Source organism: Homo sapiens, chromosome 3, assembly GCF_000001405.40.
Source record: "Homo sapiens chromosome 3, GRCh38.p14 Primary Assembly".
Classification (NCBI taxonomy): domain Eukaryota; kingdom Metazoa; phylum Chordata; class Mammalia; order Primates; family Hominidae; genus Homo; species Homo sapiens.
This window is the reverse complement of record NC_000003.12, coordinates 58,586,181-58,606,803: the sequence shown is the minus strand read 5'-3', so window position 1 is coordinate 58,606,803 and position 20,623 is coordinate 58,586,181. Positions and strand designations below refer to the sequence as shown.

At 46.5% G+C, this 20,623-nt stretch overlaps 1 protein-coding gene across 3 annotated transcripts in view; it reads left to right on the top strand.

Moving 5' to 3' along the window:
* Window positions 1–20,623, top strand: part of FAM107A (family with sequence similarity 107 member A) — a 63,494-nt gene that overhangs the window by 20,807 nt on the left and 22,064 nt on the right. For 2 of the 3 annotated variants that reach the window (NM_001282713.2, XM_047447370.1), the window contains exon 1: window positions 19,790–19,946. In NM_001282713.2, coding sequence (NP_001269642.1) covers window positions 19,868–19,946 — 79 coding nt within the window. In that variant the 5' untranslated portion in view covers window positions 19,790–19,867. Of the gene's footprint in view, window positions 1–17,534; window positions 17,599–19,789; window positions 19,947–20,623 lie in introns of those variants that run through there. The other variant, NM_001282714.2, reaches the window with a different exon arrangement.

The window sequence follows — 20,623 nt, the reverse complement described above, 5'->3', positions numbered from 1 at the left end:
ACAAGAAGTCACAAGAAAGGAAATTGAGAGTAGACTGAAATGTAGAAGGGCTGGAATTCAGATAGAAACTTTAGCCTGTACTCTGTGGTCCAACATTTTCCAGTGTGTTCCACAAGACTTTAATAAGTGTTAGGTGAGCCAAGAGTTTCAGGTCCAACAGACTGGATTAAGCTCACTTAAACAGGTTTCTCTCCTGCAGGGCCTCTTGTATTCACACGTCCAGATGTGATTCTCCAAAAGGAGAGCTACAGACTATAGCATTCCCTAAGGGGCAGCTCTCAATTCTACACCTTGTGAAGTGCCACTGTGGGTCATAGGGAGCCATTGAAGGCAGCAGAGCAAGAGAGTAAGACAGCGAAAGTGTTCTAGGAAGAACACAATGGAAGCTCTGTAAGAGATGTCTGCATAGGCCGGGCATGGTGGCTCACACCTGTAATCCCAGCACTTTGGAAGGCCAAGGCAGGTGGATCACTTGAGGTTAGGAGTTCAAGACCAGCCTGGCCAACATGGTGAAACCCCGCCTCTACTAAAAATACAAAAATTAGCCAGGCATGGTGGCAGGTGCTTGTAATCCCAGCTACTTGGGAGGCTGAGGCAGGAGAATCACTTAAGCCTGGGAGACAGAGGTTGTAGTGAGCCGAGATTGTACCACTGCACTCTAGCCTGGGTGACAGAGTGAGACTCCATCTCAAACAAACAAACAAAAAAGAGATAACAGCATAATCATCCATGCAAAGAGCAATGACCTCCCAGACCAGAGGGTCAGTGGCAGAAACAGGAATTAAGGTATACAGTGGAGTTGGGATGTAGGAAAATACATAGATTAACTCAGAAAATGCTGCTGCCTTGGTGATAGTGACAGTGACATTTAGTTTTGATTTTAGCTTTTCTACTGAAAGCAGGGGCCACACAAAGAGAAAGCATGGACTGTGAAGTTCAGCAAACCTGATTCTTGGGTCTACTACTGTGCCTTTTTGGCAAGTCACTGTACCCCTCTGAACCTTGGCTCAGTGAAGGCTTAAGCATTTTCTCTCAGGGTCCTGGTGAGCATTCCAAGATTATAGAGAGGGGGTAAGGATGTCTCACTACGAGTTGGACTTCCACTTCCAGCCATGATAGAGGACCTGGTGCCACACTAGCACTACCACTAAAAACAACTTGACACTTGGCAAAATAAGAGACAATGTTCTCAGGCAGTGGACAATAGGTACTGTGATCTCTGAAGGAAAGGAAACTTACAAGGTGAGCCCCTCATCACCTGGACTCTCATCCTGGGACAATTTCCCAACTATGGCACAGGACGATGGAGCCCAAACAGAACATGGTAGTCCCTCTGAGCTCAGGAGGCAGAGATCAGGGTTTGGAGCAACTAAAGCAAAAGGAATCTGCAAGACAGGGCACTGGAGAGGAGGGAGCCGCATAGATAGGGAGCCCCAAAATCTGTGTGGGGGTCCCCCATGACCCACAGGTTCTTGCCCAAGGACTGGGATTTGCAGGCACAGGGTCAGACTATCTGAGACTTACCAGAGAGCAGCTGTTATAGGGTTAAGAGTGAACTGGGGCTGGGAGAGTCAGCTGGGGCTGGGAGACATTGGAGAGACCTTCATCCTAGACATCAAGCTGAGACACCAGAAAGCTGTGCCTTAGGTGTGAGGACTATACTGTGGTGTAAGGGATACTCCAGAGCTGCATAACAAAGCCTAAAACCAAATCCTTCAAGACCCTCAGGGGAGAAAGTTTGGAGGTGAGTCCTACCAAGTTAAAGGGACTTGGAAAGAGCCTGGACTTTGCAGGAGTGCAAAAACAAGCCCATGGAACTTCAAAGGGATCACCTAATAATTGTACTGCCTGCTAAAACAAAACCTAACACTCATCAGAAAAAGATAACAAAATCCAGAGTCTCCACAACACATCACACACACACAACCTCCAGTATACAATCAAAATTGTTTAGACATGCAAAGAGACAGGAAAATGTGATCCTTAGTCAAGAAAAAAGCAGCCAATAGAAACTAACTCCAAGATGGTCTGGAGGTCAGAGTTAGTAGATGAAGACCCTGAAGCACCTAGTCCAGTGTTTAGCACATAGTAGATGCCCAACAAATGCCAGCTGCTTATCTCCGTGTGAGCAAAGTAATAATTTATTCCCCAAAATCTTTGAAACACAAGGATTAATAAAGGAAAGTGCATTCAGTCCACACATCCTGAGGTCCCGCTGATTGATCTTATGGGGCCCAGGGAGTGGGTGAGGCTGTCACGTGCAACAATGAGAGAAACAAGTTATGACCCTGCCACTAACTCACTGTGCGAGTCCCTCAGTGCTCTGTGCCTCAGTTTCTCCACTTATATAATGGAGGGTGCAGGCAGATCATCTCAAAGGGCCCTTTCTCTCCAGAATTCTGAGTCTGTCTGGCACAGGACCTGTTATCAGCCCAGGACATGCTCTGAGCTGAGGCCTGGAAGAACCGGTTGGAGAAGGAATTGGATCTGCGTTTAATGCTCTGGAGGGAGCACGAGTTGGGATGTCACTCTCCCAAGTATAATAATGTTGAATTGTGGGCAGAGACTGAGCTCATTTTCCAAAGGAACCTTTCTTGAGAAATGTCTCCTAGCAACCAGCTCCACCGAGAGTACAATCTTCAGGGACCTTTACAGAAACACAAAGGCTTTTTGTGGCTCCCTCCTTCAAAAGCCCAGGTGGAAACTGCTCATCAGCCGACATGCTAGTGTGAAGCTCAGAGAGCAGGCGGAGGGGCATCTGGTGGGGCAGGGGCTATTGGGAGGGCTTCCACCCACGGCCTCAACCTCTTTCCTTTTGGTGAAAATAGAAGTAGTCCAGCTTCAGGGCTCTGAGCATGGTCTTCCAACAGGAGCTCAAAACCCAGTTACTAGTTGGGGAGCCTTGAGGAAGTTACTTAACCTCTGTGAGCCCCATCTGTAAAAAGCAGGAGGTTGGTGCTCCTCCACCTACATCCCTTTTATTGATCCAGCACACCCACATGCCTGTTACTGTGAGTGCTGATTGCTCACAGCTGCACCCTTCTCAGACAATCACCCATGGATGCTGGGAAGTACCTCACTTAGAGATACTTTGGGGGTTGAGCCCATCTTGCAGGTTACCCTCTTCCCATTGTCCTATAGCCAATGACCAACAGATATGGAGGTACAAAAGCCCAGCCCCCTTGCCTATGGGGGGATGATGCTGCAGTGCCATCTACTCTCCAGACTTCCCACGGCATCCCCCTGAGGCTAGACTTCAGCTGAGCCCACATCTTGACTTAACTTCTTCTCCTGCTCCATCCTGCTTTCCTCCCTTACACTTTTAAAGGTTTCCCATGAGAGCTGTCCCTCAAGAAGTCACTTGCAGCAAGTCCCCATTTCAAGCTCTCCTAGAAAATCTAAAGACATGATGGTACCTACCACTTGGGCCACGGTGAGCATCCAATAATAGAATGCACATGAAGGACTCAGCCAATGCCTGGCACATAGTAGGTGTTCAGTATACGAACATCATTGTCCTCCTTCTCATTATTCTCATCATAACTAAAGACAGGCCTGGGATCATAGGGAGCTTCTAATGTGCACAAGCGCAGGGGACAGTGTTGGTATGGGGAAATAATTGCATTTAGACTGCTTAATACAGTTGAGGCAGAGTTATCAACTTCCTTTATTTCCTAAACCAATATAACAAAGCATTTCTCTAATTATAAAACACAGGTTCATTGAAAAAACGAAACTCAAGAAATGCAGAGAACTATGAAAATGAATGAATACATTAATTAATGAATAAAATTCCCCACCACTTGTTTATAATCACTGGGGACATTTTGGTTCATATTCTTCCAAACATTATTCACATAAATTCACATAACATACCTATGTATGGACACACATACATATACACATATCTACACCCACAAACATGTATATACACATATCTATACCCACAAACATGTATATATTAGGTTGGTGGAAAAGTCATTGTAGTTTTGCCATTACTTTAATTGATATAAGTAATACTACATAGAGATAAATATAGATATGTAAGACTGAATACATAAAGTAACACTACATGTGTAACAAAATATATAACCAATCCTGTAACCTGTTTTTTTCACTTAATTTTTCTAAATAGATAGTGGACATCTTCCATGTTAGTAAACCTAGGTCTACAACATCCTTCTTAGCCACAGACTGTTACATTGTATAGAAATAGTACAATTTAATCAATCCCCTATCGCTGGACGTTTACCATATTGCCGATCTTTTTATTATCTTGAACAATGCTTGTTCATGCACATTCTTGACCATATATCTTTGTGAAATGTGTTCAATTATTTTCTTAAATTCTTAGAAATGGAAAAGCACAGATATCTGCCTGGTTTGTAGGGCTTTCAACGCACGTTTCCCTGCAGGACACCTGTACTATCAACACTCCCTCCAGGAGCACACCAGAGTGTCTGTTTCCTCACACCCTCTCCAACACTGAGTATCGTTATATTTTCATTTTTGCCAATCTGATAGGTGAAAGATAATACCCCATTGTTGCTTGAGCGTGCATTTTCTTTGATTTCTGGGGAGGCAGAGCATCTTTCTTACGTTTGTGGACCGTTTGGATTTCACCTGCTGAGAACTGCCCTTGTCCAGTCATTGGCAAAGCCTGTTGGGTGTCTTCTCTCTTCCCCCTTCCCTGCCCTAAGCCACAGACTCAGCAGCTTCCTGGTGTGTTATTTCACAAGCTCTCAAAGCTCTGCCTCATACAGGATTGGCCTCCCAGGAAGGCAGAATTTTCTCCCTCTGCTCCAGCCTGCCTGAGATGGGATTAGTAGGGATCCAGTTCCTTGACCTCCAGGAGCCCCCTTGCCAAGTCCCCTCTCCCGGCCCCATCCACGTTTACACCACAAAGACTTTGAAAACCAGATCTGCTTAACGAAAATATCAGTTTTTGCCAAAATTCCAAACCCACCCAGCAAATACATTCCGGGGTGATTATTAGCATGACTTGAAGAATCTTTTCAGAAGAACTTGTCAGAATATTCCTTTAAAATCCAGTACTTTTGAGAAGTTTAACATGCGATTGTACATATACCAAGATCCAGCACAGTGGAAAATATCCCAGCCATTGACCTAGAAATCCCAATGGTAAGAATTTACCCTCTGGGTGGGTGCGCTTGCCCATGTACAGAAAGATACATGTGGGATATTCATTGAAACCTTCCTCATAACAGCAAAATATATGGCAACCACTTACATATCCATCAGTTAGGACCACTAAAATAAGTTACCAATGACCTCTGCTATGAAACATTGTGCAAACAGTAGATAATGTGAGTCTGAATGTGCACGTGTGTAAACATGTCCTCGATGTGCCATAGAGTGACAAAGCAAGGTGTAGCCTGGCACATTCAGTGTGAGCCCATCTGCACTTTCTAAAAGATAGATCAGAATCATTCTAGATGTTTATAGAAGCAGAGACAATTCCTGGAGAGATGCATAAGAAATTACTTACATCAGTTTTTTCTGGGAGGAGGATGTGGGGTTGAAGTATTTGGAGATTTGGGGGGTTGCACTTTACACCCATCTGCATTGTTTAATAACTGTGAATAATAATTTAAATGGCTTTATCATTATATAATGAAAATGCTTATTTAAAAGCTTAAAAGTGAGCCTATGATCAATAACAGAATTGTGGTAATAATAATGTGATTATTAAATAGCCTATTGAGTACCAATTATGTGCCAGGCACTGTGTATTCTCTCATTCAATATTAAAACGAGCGCTATTTTGATGCTTATTTTATACACGAGGAACCTGAGTCTTAGGTTAAGAGGCTTGGTAAGGCTGCATCTGATTACAAAACGCTGGCTCTTTCCACAGGGCATGGCTCTGGTGCCCGAAGGGAGACCTGTGAGGGTTTTGTCGGGTCCTGTGGGGGTCCTTCAGTGAGTCCCTTGTGGTGGGCTGGAGGCTTCCCACCTGGTGGCAGCTCTGTTCTCTTTGCCTGCCCCCTGTGGCATTTCTCCCCCTGATCTGTCTCCTTAGAGCTGCACCATCCAAAGCAGTCCACTTAATTAATTATGATTAAATAAGACTAAAATTTCAGCTCCTCAGTTGCACTAGCCACATCTCAAGTCTTAAATAGTCGCATGTGGCTAGTGGCTACCATGTTCTCAGAAAGACAGTGAACATATCCATCCTCTCAGAACATTCTATCGAATTCCCTGTCCCAGCTTTGGAGCCAGGCTGACCTGGGCTCAAACCTGCTCCATCACTGAAGGAGCTGAGCAAAATTCACTCAACTTTTTTGAGCCTCACTATTCTCATCTGTAAAATGGGATGACGATATAGCTGCCACACTGGGCTGTTGCAGGGGTTAGTTAAGATCATGCCTGCTGCATGGGTAGCCCAAAGCCTGTCGCATGAGCAGCTGTCACTTAAAAGACAGAGAGGAAGATAGGACTCTGCAGTCAGATATTTTATGACCTCGGGCAGGTCTTCTCTGAGGCCTCACCTCCTTGTCTGTAAAATGGGGTAAACAGTACCTACCCTGAAAGGTTGCTGTGAGGATTCGAGAGCATCTATATAGTAGATGCTCAGAAAACAGTCAAGCCCCTTTTCCCCTTTCCAAAAAAGGGTTTCCCCTGTCAGGCAAAGCACTATCAAAAGACCCAGAAGAAGGAATCCAGAAGGCCAAATATCAAAAGAAGGCTCAATCTCCAAAATGAAATAATCATGGGATATTGTCCTATCACCCATTAAATTGCAGGGGTGGGGGGTAAATTGAACTTTTTGCCGAAGAATAACACGCATATTTAATACTGCACCTGGGCTGGGCATGGTGGCTCATGTCTGTAATCCCAGAACTTTGGGAGGCTGAGGCGGGAGGATCACTGGAGGTCACTAGTTTGAGGCCAGCCTGACCAACATGGTGAAACCCCATTTCTACTAAAAATGCAAAAAATTAGCTGGGTGCAGGAGAATCACTTGAATCCAGGAGGCAAATGTTGCAGTAAGCCGAGATCACACCACAGCATTCCAGCCTAGGTGACAGAGCGGGATCCCGTCTCAAAAAAAAAAAAAAAAAAAAAAAAAAAAAAAAAAAAAAATGGTGCACTTGTTTTAAGTATACCACTTAACACATTTTTAGAAACTGAAAATACCTGTGTAACCACCACTCAGATCAAGAAACAGAACATCAACAGCACCCTGGAAGTCCCTCCTGCCCCTTCCCATCCACTATTGCCCTCCACAGGGGCAACCACTATCCCGACTTCTAACACTAGAGATTAGTTTTCAGGAGACAAACCTAGATTCATAACATAAAGCCTTGCTGAAGGTGTGGACAATCCCATAATCTCAGGCACGGATGGCAAGTATGGAAAATGCAGCCATTTTGGAAGATAATTTGGCAGCATCTACTAAAACTTAAATACATGTACTTCCTGGTCTAGCATTTCCACTTCCCAGTGTCTGCCCTAGAGAAATATTCACCCATGTGGACAGAAAGGCAGCAAGCATAAGGGTGTTTGGAGTAGAATTATTTGTAATAGTGAAAAATTGAGGCTAGGTGCGATGGCTCATGCCTATAATCCCAGCACTTTGGGAGGCTGAGGCAGGCGGATGATTTGAGGTCAGGAGTTTGAGACCAGCCTGGCCAACATGGTGAAAACCCATCTCTACTAAAAATACAAAAATTAGCCAGGCATGGTGGTACATGCCTGTAATCCCAGCTACTCGGGAGGCTGAGGCAGGAGAATTGCTTGAACCTGGGAGGCGGAGGTCACAGTGAGCCGAGATCCCAGCATCGCACTCCAGCCTGGGCGACAAGAGCAAAACTCCGTCTCAAAAAAAAGAAAAAGAAAAGAAAAATTGGAAGCAACCTAAATGTCCAACTAAAGCGTAATGGTTTAAAAAAAAAACCATGGGGCATCACACTGTGGTTTACACTGTAGTAGATCAGAAGAGTGAGGTGGATCTACATATACCAACATAGAAATATCTCCAAGACATACCACAGAGTTTAAAAAGGAAGCTGCAGAAAAACGACAAAACTCACACATGCAGCATCAAAAAGAGTGATGACTCAGGGAAAGGGGTGAGATTGGGGCATGGCTGGGACAGTAAGGAGAAATGTTACTTTTTAAAATGTGTATGCAACTGAGTTGTTCCGAATGTTTACAGTAGCAGTGGATTTATGTATTACTTGTGTGAACTATTTTGCAAGCATTTAAGGGGAATGAAACAACCCATGCACCAAGTCCAGGTATGGAAAAAAAGATTGCTGCTGCTGCCTGCTGGGGGGTGGGTGGCTCCCACCCAGGGCCTCAGCTTGAGTTCCAGGAAGGCAGTTTTCTGGGTCTCTGAGACCTAAGGGGCTGAATGAATGGAGGCGTGAGAAGGCCCTGGAGACCAGAACTGTAGAGGCCTCCTTTGATAGAAAACAGTGCCCTCATTACTGCACCTCGGCTGAGAACTCAACACCCATGTGATGTAAGTGGACCCCTGCAAAGGAACAAGTCCCAGGGCTGGGCGCCTGCTCCAAACAGAGCCCAGCACTTTAAAGGAAGGATTGCTGGGTCTGATTCTCTCCATCCCTGGGGATGGAAAAGAGAGGTGGCAGGCGTCACCTCACAACAGGGTGGCTTTGTGAGAGTGAAGCACTGAGGTGGAGGCTCGGGGTGAGCGTTGCGACATCCAGTGGCTGTGGGCTCCAGAGAGTGGAGGTTGTAGAGGAGGGCAGCAGCCAGGGCTCTGCATTACATATATTCAACCTTTAAGAATAAGCCAGGTAGGGAGGCTGGCACAGCTGACTCCAGGGAGAAGGGTTCCTTAACCTCACTGAGCCTCAGTTTCCTCCTCTGTAAAATGGGTGCAGGCTCTTGCCATCTCACACACACACAAAAGCTCCTGAGTCAGACTGCCTCAAGTCTAATTACAAAGCTGCCACTTGCCAGCTGTGTATCTTTTTTATTTTTTTATTTCCATCCAGCTGTGTATCTTAACCTGCCGAAGGCCTCAGCTTTCTTCCTCATCTGTAAAACAAGAACTTCACTCTTCCCTAATCTCAGAGGACTTTCATGAGGTTTAAATGAGACCATATCGGTAGTCATGTCACAGTGCCTAGCACTAGAATGTGCTCGATAGCTGTTTGCTACAATTATTAAGTTAATAATTTATTAATTTTTATTTACAAAGCACCTATGTGCCAAGAACTGTGCTAGGCATTGCAGACACATCCCTGAATAAGTTACAATTCCTATTCTCATAGTGTTTACAGTCTAATGGAGGTGTAAATAAAGACGTCTAGAGACATACCTCCAACTGATTCACTCCAGATTTTAAGGACAAATACCCTGAGCTCCAAATTCAGAATTCAGGCCCATCTGTGTTTATCAGCGATGCAATTTTGCTAACACCTCCCTCCTCCCTGCCAATCCAAAGCATTGTGTATGGGAGTGACCTGAATGTGTCCCCAAAAATCTATGTTGTAAAGATGTCAAAAGTACAATACAAAGTGACACAATCATTGTTGGCAGTATCCACTATAGCTAAACATTCACCTACTTATGATCCCCCAAGTCCACTGCTGGATATCTGCCCAACAGAAATGAGCACTCATTTTGACCCAAAAATTCATGGAAAGTTGTTCATAGCAGCTTTAGGAGTGATAGCCAAAAACTGGAAACCATCCAAATGTTCGTTCTCAGGAGAATGTATCAGCAAACTGTGACATAGCCACCAAATGGAATACTTAAGTCAGAAATCAAGAGGAATGAACTACTGACACAGGCAGCCACACTGATGAATCTCAAACACACGGCTGAGTAAAAAAGCCAGGCCAAAATGAGCACATTTTATTATTCCATTGATGTGAAGTTCTAGAGCAAGAGAAATGAATCTGTAGTGACAGAGGCCAGAATGGCTCTTACCCTGGGAGAAAGTAGGTATTGACTGGGGTGCAGTCAGTCTTGATATATATTTTGTCATATATATCAAGATATAAAGCAAGCCAATCTTGTTTTATATCTTGATCTTGGAGGTGGTTATGTGTGTGAACACATATATAAAACCTCACTGAGCTGCACAATGGACTTTATGCTACACCTCAATTTTTTTTTTTTTTTGAGACCGAGTCTGGCTCTGTCACCCAGGCTGGAGTGCAGTGGCACGATCTGGGCTCACTGCAACCTCCACCTCCCAGGTTCAAGCGATTCTCCTGCCTCAGCCTCTCTAGTAGCTGGGATTACAGGCACCCATCACCAGGTCCGGCTAATTTTTTGTATTTTTAGTAGAAACAGGGTTTCTTCATGTTGACCAGGCTGGTCTCGAACTCCTGAGCTCACGCCATCTGCCCACCTTAGCCTCCCAAAGTGCTGGGATTACAGGCGTGAGCCACCGCACCCAGCCTACACCTCAATTTTTAAATGTTTAAAAACAAATAAAGCAAGGTCCCTTAAATGCTCCTCGGTGCATGGGGAAGACTATGGCAGATGTGGATTGGGCCCATGGTTGGTCTCCTTGACACTTTCACATTGAGGTCTCAGCCTCTAGGAGAAGCAATAGGACAAACTGGGGAAGAGGAGGATTTGGGGATAGGATCATTGAGGCCACCAGTGACCAATGCCAAGAGGTTTTTCTCAACAATCAGGACATGAAAAAGAGGCAGGCGGAGGCCACAGGAAGGACAGGAGGAATGCAGATGTCTTTGCCTCAGGGAAGATTGAGTTGTGCCCAGTTGTATTGGGGCATATTGTACATTACACAATAGTATTTCCTCTGGAATTTATGTCTGCTAACTTTCACTAACCAAAATTATAATTAAGCCAGCATCTCCCGATTTGGAAACGGTGAGAACAAATGACAGTTGGCCATATTTTTCAGCATCGTCCTTGGAAAAGACTATCAGTTATCAGTAATGCATCAGGAATGATCTAGGTGGAGATTCTCTCACTCACCAAATGCCAACCATTGAAGGGAGAGAGCCCTCTGCCTTGGCCACTGAGGTTCCACTGGATACAGGTTGGCCTTATTTTCCAACAAGTCTTGCATGGAAGGGGGTTGGCAGGTGTGCAAGTGACATTTCTTGTGTGTGTGTGTGTGTGCACGCAACAAGGCTGTTTATTTCACTTGGGTGCAGGCGGGCTGAGTCCGAAAAGAGAGTCAGCAAAGGGTGGTGGGATTATCATTAGTTCTTATAGGTTTGGGATAGGCGGTGGAGTTAGGAGCAATTTTTTACAGGCAGGGGGTGGATCTTAAAAAGTACATTCTCAAGGGCGGGGAGACTATTACAACATACCTTCTTAAGGGCAAGGGAATATACATTATCGCAAGGGCAGGGAGGGTGTATTGTCATAAGATCAATTGATCAGTTAAGGTGGGGCAGGAACAAATCAAATGGTGGAATGTCATCAGTTAAGGCAGGACCTGGCTAATTTCACTTCTTCTGTGGATCTTCAGGTGCTTCAGGCCATCTGGATGTAAACGTGCAGGTCACAGGGGATATGATGGGTTAGCTTGGGATCAGAGGCCTGACATTCCTGTCTTCTTATATTAATAAGAAAAACAAAACAAAATGGTGGTGAAGGGTTGGGGCGGTGAAAATTTTTGGGGGTGGTATGGAGAGATAATGGGCGATGTTTCTCAGGGCTGCTTCGAGTGGGACTGGGGGGGTGTGGGAACCTAGAGTGGGAGAGATTAAACTGAAGAAAGATTTGGGGGTAAGGGGTGATATTGTGGGGTTGTTAGAAGGAGCATTTGTCATATAGAATGATTGGTGATGGCCTGGATGCTGTTTTGTATGAATTGAGAAACTAAACGGAAGACACAAGGTCCAAATAAAAGAAGGAGGAAAACAGGTATTAAAGGACTAAGAATTGGAAGGACCCAGGACATCCAATTAAAGAGTGTCCAAGGGGGTTCAGTGTAATTATCTGTTTGGTTGGCAAGTTTTGGGGCTCTATCCTTGAGTTTTTTTGTGTTGTCATATATCAAGCCAGATTGATTTAGGTAAAAACAACACTCTTCATTTGAAAATATACAGTCCTCTTTTTTCAGCAGTGAGTAAGTGGAGGCCTATTCCTGTCTTCTTATATTAATAAGAAAAACAAAACAACAGTGAAGTGTTGGTGTCATCAGGGGACCAGGAAGCTGTTCGGACCTATTTGCAAATTGATTTTGGGAGGTAAGGAAAACTAGTGTACATGTGCCTGTCCAATTAACAAGGTAGACACATATAGGTGGAGAAGCCACAGAGGAAGAAGAGACCTTGTGTAAGGCAAAACTGGAAATGTAAAGTGAAAAGATGAGAGGGAGCACCAAAAGAGATGTCTTGCACCCAGAGTCCTACGGATCCAGCGAGGGCAGCTGCCGTTAGAGGTTGTACTGGGGATTGATGGGGCAACTGGGTAGAGGGGGAGGTTTGATTTTCATGGTGTATGAGAAAGTGCCTACAAGCAATCTTTCACTGCTATTCATGAGGTTGGGTACAAGTAAACAAGAAGAGGGGCTGGGAGGAGAGTCCAAAGAACAAGGGGAAGGTAGCCAAGGATGGAATGAAATGCAGGGCAAATGTCTTCCTAAGCAATAGTAACTGCTAATGTTTTTACGTTTGTCAGTATTGACACAGGGCTTATCTGTAATGCGGAGCTGAAAAGCCCCTAATGGTTTTGGTAATGTCCATAGTTGGGCTTTGGAGATGAAGAGGGAAAGAGCATAGAGAAGGTGAAAGGTTACCTAAGGGAATTCTGGTGGGTCTTTGCCGAGAGATGCACAAAGGAGAGGAAACAGGGATAGTAGTTTGTGTTGTGAGGGGTCCAAATATGGTGGGGGGGAGGGGTGGAACTGACATAAGGAGAAAGGTGCCGTAAGTAGATGCGGATAAGTGTGGCAGCTTGTTGGTGCGAAATGTCTGGGCAGTTCTCAACAAATCCATCCAGAAAGTAAAGAAGTTCCTCAGGCAGGTAAAGATGAGGGCTATTAAAGGAGGTTCGGAGGTGCAGGGAGAGGGAGAGGTAGTCCAGTCAACCTGTAGGGCGCGGACGGCTGTGTAAGAGCAGGAAGAAACGGAAATGCTAAGCCAGCAATTGTTCGCTAAGGAGGAATTAGAAATGGTGAGGAGGGAGTGAGTGAGATTGATAGTATGTTAGAGGTAATTAGGGAAGGGTAGGGAGCGACTGGAGAACAGGGGCAAGGATAAGAGTGAGTAGAAAAGTAAAAAAAAAAAGGACTTCGTCAGGATAGAAGAATTGGAGTGTACCTTGCCACTGAAGATCTTCTATCCGCTTCAAGAGAGACTTAAGGGTGGTTGTTTGAGGTAAAACCAGGAGATATCAGTTATGATGGTTTGGAGGAAAAGTGTAAACCGGCAGTGTAAACAAGGGCAGGGCATTTACAAGTAGTTGAGAATGGTGAATAGGAGTATGACTAGACAGCAGATAGTAGGGATGACAAGTTTTTGGGGTGCAGTCCAAGTAGTGGGGGTGACTGTATAAAGCCCTGTTGCAAAAAGTAGGGTAAGGACGAATAGACCTAATAGAATGAAGGGATGTATTAGGCTCATAAGCGTTATTACTGCTCTTCAGAAATGCGAGTGAGTTTAAGGGAAGTAGGGGAGAGCACTTGCGACTTCCAGGAGGAAGAGGAGAGATCAGGCTGGCTGTCCAATGGACACAGCTTTATTCTGGAACGGTGAACCCAATGGGGAGGGTCCTGCAGGCAGAAGGCAGTTGGAGTACTATAGATGACTGAGTGGGGTCCGGTCCACCGAGGTTGTAGAGTTTGAGGGGTCAGATTCTTAAGAACTGATTGTCCAGCTAGGGTGTCTTTATAAGGCTGGGAATCTGGAGTATGCAAGAGAAGATTAGCAGTCTGATGAATTTCCTGTCTAGCCTACTGGAGGACTGGAAGATAGTTGCCTAGAAGGCTGGTGTCTGGGATGAGATTGGGGCCCAGCAAGAAAGTGCGTCCATATAAAAGTTCAAATGGACTTTACCCTGTAACATCTTGAGGACAGGCTCTAATTTTGAGAAGGGCAAGAGGTAAAAGTACTGTCCAGTCCTTTTTAAGTTGGAGGCTGAGCTTGGTGAGGTGTGTCTTTAAAAGACCATTAGTCCGTTCTACCTTTCCTGAAGATTGAGGATGGTAAGGGGTATGAAGTTTCCACTGAATACCAAGAGACTAAGAAACTGCTTGGGTGATTTGACTAATAAAGGCCGGTCCGTTATCGGACTGTATAGAGGTGGGAAGGCCAAACCGAGGAATTATGTCTGAGAGAAGGGAAGAAATGACCGCGGTGGCCTTCTCAGACCCTGTGGGAAAGGCCTCTACCTATCCAGTGAAAGTGTCTATCTAGACCAAGAGGTATTTTAGTTTCCTGACTCGGGGCATGTGAGTAAAGTCAATTTGCCAGTCCTAGGCAGGGTCAAATCCCTGAGGCAAGGAACACTTCTTTGAACTCCAGGTCTGGGAGCTGCTTCTTCTGAAATTCTGGCTTTGTGATGCTAATGTTGCCCTTGGGACCCAGCCCAACTTCCCAGGTCTGTGTGAAGAGAGCTGAGCAGCAGCTTAGATCCCTTCTGGATTCTCTAGACTAGGTCCATTTTCTATGTCTTGAAATTTTCTTCCACAGATTAAGGTTACTTGCTCCCTTAAGCCTTTCATTAAAAAACACAAAAGATACTTCCAAACCACGAACACTCTCCCTCTTCTATCCCCTCCTTGGTGGTGGAGTTCAAAATTGGAACCCCCAGGGGAAACACCAGGACCCCAGGCAATTCTGTTCACCCTGATCATCCCTGAGCAGGCCACAGCTGAGGCCTCCCCTGGTTCTGGCCCTGACTCACTCTCTGGGGAATTACCCACTTTCCCATACAGCACAGAGGCCTTTATGTGGCTGCATTCCCTCATTCACTGATTCATTCATTCCCTCAATAAGTCTTTATTGAATGTCCACTCCAAGCACAGCTCCAGGCTGGGCCCTGGGGAGACAGCTGTGAATAGAACCCAATCCCTCTTCAAGGCGAGTACAGTATGGTGAAGGAAGCAGGGCTGAAAGAGTCATAATTAGGTGGGAAGTATTAACATAGGGGAAGTCTGCATGCTACGGGAGCACGTGGTTGAGGGGCACCTCCCTGAGGAAGTAGCATTTCTGCCAAGACCTAAAGGATGAGAAGGAGTGAGCCAGGCAGAATGCGGGAGCTTCCCAGGTGAAGGGAACAGTTCCTGCAGAAGCTGGCAGCTGAGAGAAGCCATGGCTTTCAGGGAACCCAGAGAGTTCTCAGTGGTTGGAGTATGAGGCATGGAGGAAGTTGGCCCCTGTCTCCTCACTGACCTTCTCTCATGTGACTGCCCCAGTGTTCCCTCCACTTCGGCCACCCTGACCTCCTTGCTGCTCCTGAATATGCCGGGCACAGCCCAGCTCGGAACCTTTGCATTAACCGCTGACCCTGCCCCAGGACATCTGCTTGGCTAACTCCCAGCTTCTTTCAAGTCTATGTCCATGTCTCATCTTCCCATTGAGACCTGTCTGAACTGAGCATCTATTTATGACCACAGGTGGTCCCCACTTGCCACCAGCCACCCCCTTTCCCTTCTCTACACTCCCTTTTTCCCAGCGTCTCTCTGTTCTCCTTCCACACTGTCTACCTTACTTATTCATCATGCTTACTGTCTATCTCCCACTCTAGAATGTGAACGTGAACGCTGCAAGAACAGAGGCCTTTGTTGTGTTCACTGAGGTATCCAAGCCCTTGCACAGTGGAAGGAACAAACAGATGGAATTTGAGAGGCTCACAGGGAGAAGCCAGGCTGCAGAGGCCTTGTAGGCCTGGTGAAGGCATGTGGGTTTGAGTCCCCAATGCAAAGGGAAAACATGACACAGAAGGGTTCCAAGGAGGGCAGAATCAGGGTCTGAGTTACGCTTTAAAAGCTCAATCTGGAGTCTTTGTGGAGAACGACTTGAAGGAGAGTGATATGGTTTGGCTCTGTGTCCTCACCCAAATCTCATCTCAAATTGCAATCCCCACATGTCAAGGGAGGGACCTAGTGGGAGGTGATTAGATCATGGGGGCAGATTCCCCCATGCTGTTCTCGTGACAGTGAGTGAGTTCTCACAAGAGCTGATGGCTTTAAAGTGTGGCACTTCCTTGCGTGCACTCTCTCTCTGTCTCTCCTGCTGCCATGTAAAATATGCCTTGCTTCCCCTTCACTTTTCACCATAATTATAAGTTCCTGGAGCCTCTCCAACCATTTGGAACTGTGAGCCAATTAAACATTTTTGTTTATAAATTACCCAGTCTCAGGTAGTATCTTTATAGCAGTGTGAAAACTGACTAATACAGAGAACAAATTACTGTTGGTATCCAGGCATTCAGTGGTACTCAGGCTAAGGTGGTGGCATGGAGGCCTGGGAGAAGTGGATGGACTCCAGAAATTCATTGGAAGGTGGACTCACCAGGCTTGGAAGATCAGACAACTGTGGGGTTGCAGGAAGACAGGGCAAGGAAGACTCCCAGCCTCCTGGTCTGAGCAACAGGGTCAGAGTAGAGCCATGTGCTGAGATCTGGGAGACAGGGGAGGCACATGTTGGAGGCTTGGGGTGTCAAGAGTTCTGTTTGGGCCATGGTGAGTTTCAGGTGCCTATTAGACTTTCAAGTGGAGATGTCAGGTAGCTGATTGGACAAGGTCAAAGCTCAGAAGCACAGTCAAGATTGAAAATATATAATGTATTAGGGGAATGTTGGCTTAGAGTTCTCTTTAAAGCTCTGAGAGTGTAAAGAGAGAAGAGAAGATGTCCAAGAACTGGCCCTAAGGACCAAGCCCTGAAGCCTTCTGACTTGGCCCTTGAAGAATGAGGACTTTGCCAGGAAGGTAAGAAGAAGGCAGTCCAGGCCAAAGGAACAGCATGGGCGTGAGCTCAACCTAAAAGAATATGGGCCTCAGGACTCTAAGAAACTGTGCGAGTCATCCAAAACAAAGAAAGTCTGAGAAACTGTCACAGCCAAGGCAGCCAGAGGGGACATGATGACTGAATGTGACGTAGTAGTCTGGAGGGATCCTGGAACAGAAAAGGGACATTAGGTAAAAACTCAGGAAATCTGAATAAAGTATGCACTTTAGTTAGTAATAATGCATCAATATGGTCTATTAATTGTACCAAATGCACCATACAACTCACATGTACAGCTGCATATATGTAAGGTGTTAATAACAGGGAAATTGGGTGTGGAGTATAAGAGAACTCTCTGTACTATCTTGTTAACTTTTCCCTAAATCTAAAACTGTTTTTAAAAATAATAAAGTTTATTTTTTAAAAAAGAGCATGAGTCTCATAAATACGCATGTGGGCACACACACATACACACACACACACACATCCATTCCAAAGACTATGGTAATTTCTTTCTCTGGAGAGGACTTTGACTCTGACCAGTCCCTTCAGTGGCCAAAAGACTCAGATACATTGTGAATATATCACCCCTCCCTCAGCCAAAGAACCAAGGGTCCTCAACTCCACCTACTTTCTTTCTGTTTACAGAAAACATACTCTCCTCAGGCCAGATTTCATAGTGAAAATGAGAAGCAGAGACGAAATGGCTCAGGTAAGTCAGACCCGCTAGAATTCCTGGGTGCGGCCAGAGTCCATCCCTTCAGATACTCCACAAAAGTACATCCCATGGCCACAATTTCCCTGAGTCCCACTTTGCTCCACAGCTGGTTTGGTTTCTCCCTTGCAGCATAAGTTCTGGCACCATCTGGGTTCAAATTCTGGCTCCACTACCAACTCATTATGTGATCTCGAGCAAGTCACTTGTGCCGTATTTCCTCAACTGTAAAAGGGGCATAACCATCACTTGAGGCCGGGCATGGTGACTCATGCCTGTAATCCCAGCACTTTGAGAGGCTGAGGCAGGTGGATCACTGGAAGTCAGGAGTTCGAGACCAACATGGCAAAACCCCTTCTCTACTAAAAATACAAAATTAGCCAGTTGCGGTTGCGTGCACCTGTAATCCCAGCTACTCGGGAGGCTGAGGCAGGAGAATTGCTTGAACCCAGGAGGTGGAGGTTGCAGTGAGCCATAAAAAAATAAAGAAAGAAAGAACCATAGCTTGATCAAAGAGCTATTGAGTGGATTAAATGAGGTGAACTGTAAATTGGATATAATTTCATCCTCTGAAGAAAGGATATAATACAGTGAATGCCAAATATCTGCCATCATGCCTGGCACTCCTGAAGGCTGGTTGTTGATGACAGACATGATCAGTCTGGCCAATCAATGAGGCCTCCAAAGATCAAGTGTCACCTTGGGCCCCTGATTGGCATCTGAGGTGTGGCAGATGGGCTTTCAGGACACTGGATGGTGTCTGGGGAGCAGAGAGGTACAGGACCCCTGAGTCAGAGCAGAAGCTGGATCTGGGCAGTGGCCATGGGCCAACCAAAGAGAGTTTGGCCAACAGTTGGCCTTGAAGGTACCAAGGCTGGTAACAGGCCGCAAAGGGAGGTGGTACTGTGTGGCTGAGACCACAACAGTCAGCTCAAGATTCCCTGGCTCTTTCAGACACAGCCTTGAACAGAGGCCATCCAGTACCCTGGACAGCTCCAGGAATCTCTAGATTTCAGGGGCTTAAGTTTTGTGGGCTGAGAACTGGATTGGGTCTTGGTTGTGCAAGCCACCTCACCTGCCTAAGTCTCAACGACCTCACCTGTAAACTGGAGGGAATACCCACCCTTCAGGGCTGTTGTGACGAGTGAATGAGATAGCAGACAGGCAGAAGAGCAGGTGGCCAAGGTCTGTAGTCGGACCACCTGCGTTCATGTATCCCAGCCCTACACTGTGTGACTTCAGAGAAGTTGCATCACCCCTCTGAGTCTCTGTTTTTTCTTATTTGCAATGTTAATAGACCCTGCTTCATAGGATTATGAAGATTAAATGAAACAGAACATGAAGCACACAATTAACATGAGTTTTTGTTTTAGAAGAAACTTAGCACCAGACACAGAATAGATCCTCAAAATTGCCAGCTTCTTGTATCTCCTGAAGCCCCCTGGTGAGCCTGGCACCTCCCACCTTTAGACCTGATTGGCCCACTCATCTCTGATTGTTACAGACACTCCACAAAGCCAGAGAAAGCAATCTGGTGGAGTTCCATAGGCCTCCACCCTCAACCTTCACACCCAGCAAAGACCCTGCCTCTCAGTGCCACCCACCCCACGATACTTGTGACATGTTTTAAAGTACCAGTGTATACTGTATAGTGTTTGTTCTGCACCAGCCTCTGTTCTGGGCCACACACACACACACACACACACACACACACACACACACACACACTCTAAGCTGATTAACCTCACAACCATGTGAGGAAAGTACTCTGGTTATTCCGATTTTACAGATGAGGAAACTGAGTTTCTGCGAGGTTAGGTAACTAAATCGTGGGGACACACAGCTTTTAATGGTGGTGGTGGGACCTGATCCCAGGTATGGCGCTTCAGAACCCCATGCTGGTAGCATCAACAAGGCCAGCGGCCAAAGAAAGCAGAAGAGTAGGTGGGAGACCGAGGCTGGAAGTCAGGACACTGTGTTCTCGCCTTGGCCCTGGAACCTCGGGGCTAGGAGTCCTCACTGCAGACGTTCACCCGCGCCCTGCCTGCTACCTGGGCGCGGACACCTGCCCTGGCCCCTGCCCCCCTCCTTCCCCCGGCGGCGTCTCCTCGCCCGCCCCTCCGGCCGCCGCCGTAACTTGACCCTCAGCGGGGTTTGGGACTTGGGGCCGCGTCACCGTCGCGGAGGCGCTTCGGCTCCGGACTACGCTCCTGCTGTGCGCTCGCGGGGCCAGCAGTGCTGGCTCTGCAGTAGGAGGCGCGGGGGCATGGCGCAGAGGCTGGGCGAGTGGGCCCGGGGGCCCTCCGATGCCACCGGGCTCTACCGGGCTGTGCTGCTCCGGTCGGGTAAGTGGGAGCAACGCCACCCTCGCCGCGGGAAGTGGGCGAGGAGGGCTCTGTGGTGCACGGCGCTCAGTCCCTGGCCAGTCCGCCGCTGGGCGCCTCTGCTTCGTTGCTCTGCTTCTTTCCTAACCTTCCGTCATTCTTTTTGCTTTTTTGTTTGTTTGTGACAGGGTCTCATTCTTTCTCCCCGACTGGAGTGCAGTGGTGCAATCATAGCTCACTGCAGCTTCCAACTCCTGGGCTCAAGCGATCCTCCCCATCCTCCCGCCTCAGCCTCCCGAGTAGCTGGGACTACAGGTGCGCACCACCACACCCAGCTAATTTTTTAAATTTTTTGTAGGGACGAGTTCTCCCTAGTGCTGCCCAGGCTGATCTCCAACTCCTGGGCTCAAACAATCCTCACGTCATTCTTTTTAATTACTTTTTTTTTCTTCCTCCTTTCTGCCTTTCTTTCCTTCCTTTGTTCCTTCCCTCTTCCTGCATTCATCCTTTTGGGGATCTATGACATACATTGCTTTCTTCCTATGTGTGAGAACACGCTCACACAGTTTCTTGACCACAGAAGTCCTGTGAGGTTCCACCTCCTGGCTGATCTCTTAAACAGAGACTCACACAAGTGCCTGAAGGCGGCTGTAGGCGCAGGAAGTTTGGGCCAGGAGAGAGGAAAATGGGCACGACTC